Source organism: Homo sapiens, chromosome 5 (genome assembly GCF_000001405.40).
Source record: "Homo sapiens chromosome 5, GRCh38.p14 Primary Assembly".
NCBI lineage: Eukaryota > Metazoa > Chordata > Mammalia > Primates > Hominidae > Homo > Homo sapiens.
In genome coordinates, this window is record NC_000005.10 from 80,550,132 (window position 1) to 80,555,776 (window position 5,645).

The 5,645-nt window shown below is 44.6% G+C and overlaps 1 annotated feature.

Annotated features, from left to right (window-relative positions):
- Positions 4,573 to 5,203: an enhancer, noted in NCBI's record as "OCT4-NANOG-H3K27ac hESC enhancer chr5:79850523-79851153 (GRCh37/hg19 assembly coordinates)". NCBI's record gives its function as "activates a minimal SCP1, AML or CMV promoter by ChIP-STARR-seq in primed H9 embryonic stem cells {active_cell/tissue: H9 hESC(primed)}" and the evidence as "EXISTENCE:reporter gene assay evidence [ECO:0000049][PMID:30033119]".

Consider the following 5,645-nt stretch of genomic DNA (forward strand, 5'->3'; position numbering starts at 1 on the left):
TTGCTTTTGTAATCCTGCCAGTTTCTTAAAGACCATCCTTCTCCCCCAGTGCCTCCTCTTGTAATGTCTACCACATATTTGAATGGTTTCAAGGCTGGGCACGGTGGCTCACACCTGTAATCCCAGCACTTTGGGAGGCTGAGGTGGGAGGATCCCTTGAGTCCAGGAGCTCGAGACCAACATAGCAAGACCCCATTTCTATGAAAGAGAAAAAAAAGTTTTTTAGTTATTTCATAATATTAAACAATAAAACTATCCACACAATTCTACCTTTAGAGTGGAGAGAAAGCAAGCAGAGCTTGAAAGGGGCTCACCCAGCCACCTCTCCTCTCAAGAAAACTGCCTTTGGTTTCTATACTTCTGCTTGCCGGAGGAGCCGGTCTAAATCTGGCAACTAAGCTGTTCTGGGTTTGATTGCTACTGTTGAATCTTCACTGAAGCTGGTCATTGCCCCTTTCTTCTTTATCCCTTCCTTGGAGTGAAATAATATAATCAAGTTCAAAAAATTTAATTGAAATATTCCATGTGAGAGTCTGTTGCCCTTTGTCAGTTCAGGGGCTAATGGGAAAACTCTGGCTTAGAGTAGAGTGAGCTCTTCAAGCAGCCTATGCAGCTCTGCCCCCCGTCTGGGGCAAGGAGTGTTTCTTGACTTCTCCAGGCAGTTGTGTGGGCTTTATCCCGATGCTGCCCCTTCCAATGGCTGTGGGCAAGAAAGTCAAGCTGAGTGCAGTGGCATGTCCCTGTAATCCCAGCTACTCAGGAGGCTGAGGCAGGTGGATCGCTTGAGCCCAGGAATTCCAGACCAGCTAAGTACCTGGTGGTGCACCCCAATCCTTCATTCTTGGGGGTTCTGAGGCCTTGATACTCCTGCTTGTGTATAATTGAGATAATCTACATTTGTGTCTGGCCATGATAGTATAAGGGGGTCCCCAGTGGGTTCCTCAGATTCCACCCATGCTCCTTGTAGCTCCTATTTTGCGGTTCTGAGAATCACTCTAGCAAACACCATGACCCCTTTATCTTTATCTCCTATGAAGGAAACTGGAACGACCAGGTAGTTATCTCAGCTTCCATTTCAGGGGAACTACCATAGTATCCTTTGGTGGAAGTATTCTTCCCTTGGATGCCAAATTATTGATAGCAGTGGTATCCGTATCAGTAGGGCTCAGAGTTGCAGGGGTAGGGTAGCAATTTTTTTTTAATTGACAAGAAAATCCTTTTCAAAATGTATTCAACTTCAATCATTCGTTTTCAACTTTTTCTGCTAAATCTGGAACTGTTAGTAAGGATTGTCTCAAAGAACTGTCTTTTCAAAAAGACTTTAAAGATTATTCAGTAAATGGAATCTTTTTTGTTAAATCTCTGATTTAACCTCTCCTCTTCCATGTCCATCTCCTCTTCCTCTTTCCAAAAGTGGTGACTCAGATCTTCCTAGGACAGGCTTTTCCATAGATAGACAGCTCCAGTAGCTAAGAGAGAACTGAAATATTTCTGTAACTTAATTTTCTGGTTCTAACTTATCTTTATTTGGAGGACTCTGAATAAGTCATTACATTGGTTCTGTTAGTATCTAAGGCCAGCCATCTAATCTCAACTGAGTCTTTTTATCTCCAAGCTAAGCAACAATTCTTTTACTTATTTAAAAAAAATGTTTTAGATTCTATCATTTTTCATCTTTTACTGCATATTCTTTAGTTTAAGATGTGGTATCTAGAATTAAAAACACTATTTCACATTTGATCTATGAGTGCTAAGATTCAGGAGTAGACACTGATTAAATAATGTAGTCAGGCTGTTAGCACTCCCAACAAACCTGCATTAGTTAATTAACTGCCATTTTTCCCCACGTTGTTTCAAATTAGGATCATTAAGATGGAAAGCATCCCTTCAGTGATTATGAGAGACGTAAGAGAGAAATAAAGGTTTTATTACTTACAGGTCCTGCGGTACACAGCATACCTGGAGCCCACATGCAGGGATGTCAGGGAGTGCATGGAGAGAGAGAGGAAGGGACCCGTGGGTCAACACCTTTATTGGGTCCAGGGTGTTAGCCAAACAGGTTTCCCAGGGGGAGTTTGAATTGGTGAGTTTAAGGCATGGGTTCTAGGAGGTCACATGGTGACTAAGAGGTGACCGCTGTGGCACATATGCACAATCCATGTGGGGTGTGAGTGTCAGTGGGGCCAGTTAAGCAGGGTGTATCTAGTTGTTCCATAGGGAAGTCACCAGGAAGCAGTTACATAATGTAGATACCTGGATCGACCAGGCTGAGGAACTGGGGGGCGGTGTAGAACTAGTAGTGTGTCAAGGGTGACTGAATCTTGCTTCTGGTATGAGAAAGTCCAGCTTATATTCAAAATGGATGCTGAGGTAACATAAGATTTTAAGAATTCACTAAACATATAAATTGCTGATCATCCTAATCTTATACAACTGATTTCAAAACCTAAATGTGGGTATTTATGATGCTTAAGCTTTAGGTTTTTTGTTTTGATCCATTGTTCCAGCTAATCAACACTCTTTTGGATTGTTTTTGCGATTTGTCGTGTTAGCTATTCTTCCCAGTTTTTCCTTTCCTGGCCTTCTCTTTAAGAATGATCACCTGAGGTCAGGAGTTCGAGACCAGCCTGACCAACATGGCGAAACCCTGTCTCTACTAAAAATCCAAAAATTAGCTGGGCGTGGTGGTGGGCACTGGTAACTCCAACTACTCAGGAGGCTGAGTCAGGAGAATTGCTTGAACCTGGGAGGTGGAGATTGCAGTAGCCGAGATAGTGCCATTGCACTCCAGCCTGGGTGACAGAGTGAGACTCCATCTCAAAAAAAAATAAAAATAAAAAAAAAGACAAAAAAGAATGGTAGATATTCAGGCTGGGCACAGTGGCTCGTGCCTGTAATCCTAGAACTTTGGGAGGCCAAGGCAGGTGAATCCCTTGAGGCCAGGAGTTCGAGACCAGCCTGGCCAACATGGCGAAACCCCATCTCTACTAAAAATACAAAAATTAGCCAGGCGTGGTGGTGGGCGCCGGTAATCCCAACTACTCAGGAGGCTGAGGCAGGAGAATTGCTTGAACCCAGGAAGCAGAGGTTGCAGTGAGCCAAGATTGCGCCATTGCACCCCAGCCTAGGCAACAGAGCGAGACTCCATCTCAAAAAAAAAAAAAAAGAATGCTAGACATTCAAGCTGAGCGCAGTGGCTCGTGCCTGTAATCCCAGCACTTTGGGAGGCCAAGGCAGGCAGATCACTTGAGGCCAGGAGTTCAAGACCAGCCTAGCCAACATGGTAAAACCCCGTCTCTACTTAAAAGAAAAATTTAGCCAAGCGTGGTGGTGCACGTCTGTAGTCCCAGCTGCTCAGGAGACTGAGGCAGGAGAATCGGTGGAACCTGGGAGGCGGAGCTTGCAGTGAGCCAGATCAGGCCACTGCACTCCAGCCTGGGTGACAGAGCAAGACTCCATCTCAAAAAAAAAAAAAAAAAGAATTGTACACATTCAAAGAAGGTACACAAAGAGACAGGATGTCCTTGGGGAGGCCAGTGGGCAGCGCCAATAAATCTGGTGGGTTTGTGATGGTCTACCATCTGGCCCTTTTGGAGAATTAGAAATGGGATCTGAGGAATATTGGCATAAGGCTATATAAGCTCAAATATTATCATCCCCAATTGCACTATGTCTTCTTGTTTTAAAATGTAGGTGACACGGTTTGGCTCTGTGTCCCCACCCAAATCTCATCTTGTAGCTCTCATAATTCCCACGTGTTGTGGGAGGGGACCCAATGAGAGGTTATTGAATTATGGGGGTGAGTCTTTCCTAGTGCTGTTCTCGTGATAGTGAATGGGTCTCAGGAGATCTGATGGTTTTAAAATGGTTTTAAAAATGGGAGTTTCTCTGCACAAGCTCTTTGCCTGCTGCCATCCATGTCTTGCCTTCCAACATGATTGTAAGGCCTCCCCAGCCACGTGGAGCTGTGAATCCTATTAAACCTCTTTCTTTTGTAAATTGCCCAGTGTCAGGTATGTCTATCAGCAGTGTGAAAACGGACCAACACAGTAGGTTTAATTATTATTCAGGTATGGTGAGGCCAACAGATCAAGAGACAACTGATATTGGCTGAGCGCAGTGGCTCCCACCCCTAATCCCAGCACTTTGAGAGGTTGAGGTGGGCAGATCACTTGAGGCCAGGAGTTCAAGACCAGCCTGGCCAACATGGTGAAACCCCATCTCTACTAATAATACAAAAATTAGCCAGGTGTGGTGGTGCGCATCTGTAGTCCCAGCTACTCAGGAGGCTGAGGCAGGAGAATCTCTTGAACCCAGGAGGCCGAGGCTGTGGTGAGCCAAGATTGCACCACTGCATTCCAGCCTGGTGACAGAGCAAGACTCTCAAAAACTAAAGAGACGACAAAGTGATATTGAAAAAGAGTTTGTTACTCCCAGTTCCCAAGAGGAAACGGGGTTGGTGGCAAGGATGGTGGGGGGGGGATCACACTGTGCAGCACCACATGTGGAGAACCCAAGTTGGTTGGGAGGCAGGAGGAGCAAGGGGGAAAGGTGGGAAAGGGGCTTTATTGTGGTTTCGGTGGGAAGGAATGGGCAAGGCAAAATAAGCAGGTTTCCGGTTGGCTCATTTGAATAACTTCAGTGGGCTCTGGGGTGTAGGAGCTGTCTCTAGCTGTCTGGTTCCTGGCCCTGGGGTGATTAGGACAAGGGATGGCGACCCAGAGTGTGAGAGCCCTGTGAGAGCCTGATAAAGGAGATGTTTGGGGAATGGGCTCTGGATTGGTTGTTTTGCATATGGAAGGTGTGCTCCCTGGGTGAGCTGTTTTCTATCTCTAGGAATTAGTTAATCCTGGGAGGGGCTGTCCCTCCAGTGTCGGCAAGGTCTCAGGATGTCAAAGGCTCAAGAAATACAAAAATTAGATATGATGAATACTCTTACCAGCCTAACAGGCTTATTCTCTCCTTTAAGCAAACAATATGGGAATCAAATTATTAAAAGGCTACACAGTGGGTGATTAATCAGAATAAGGGTAGTTTTATTTGAAAATTTATAAGGTTCAACTTACTAGATGCCTGATAGGTGTGTTTCCAGCCAAGAATATGCCAGGCAGTTGTTTACCCCTTCCCTGGGCACTGCTTGGATGGGCACTGTCAACACCTTTCTCAGTAACTGGAGTTGCCCTTTGTCCTCGACAAAAGGACTCTGTACTCATTGGAAATCCTGGTCCCAAGTAACTAAGAATCGTACCTGTGAAACGAATAAATAAAATGTCATTATACCTGTAAGTTAAATCTACTCTTAAATGAAGTTAAAATATAACAAAAATGTATTTAAAAATATGTGCATATATACACGCCTAACTGCTGTTGCAAACATCTATAGGACCCACCATTGGGATCACAATGGTATATTTTACTTAATGGGGTGAAAAGTCTCACTAGATGGCTTTACTACCAGACTCAAACACCATAAGTGTTCTTAGGATTGCTAGTAGGTTTAAAACTCTTCCAAATATGGCCAAATTTTTTTTTTTTCTTTTTTTTTTTTTTTGAGATGCAGTCTTGCTCTGTCGCCCAGGCTGGAGTGCAGCCGTGCGATCTAGGCTCACTGCAAGCTCCGCCTCCCGAGTTCACGCCATTCTCCT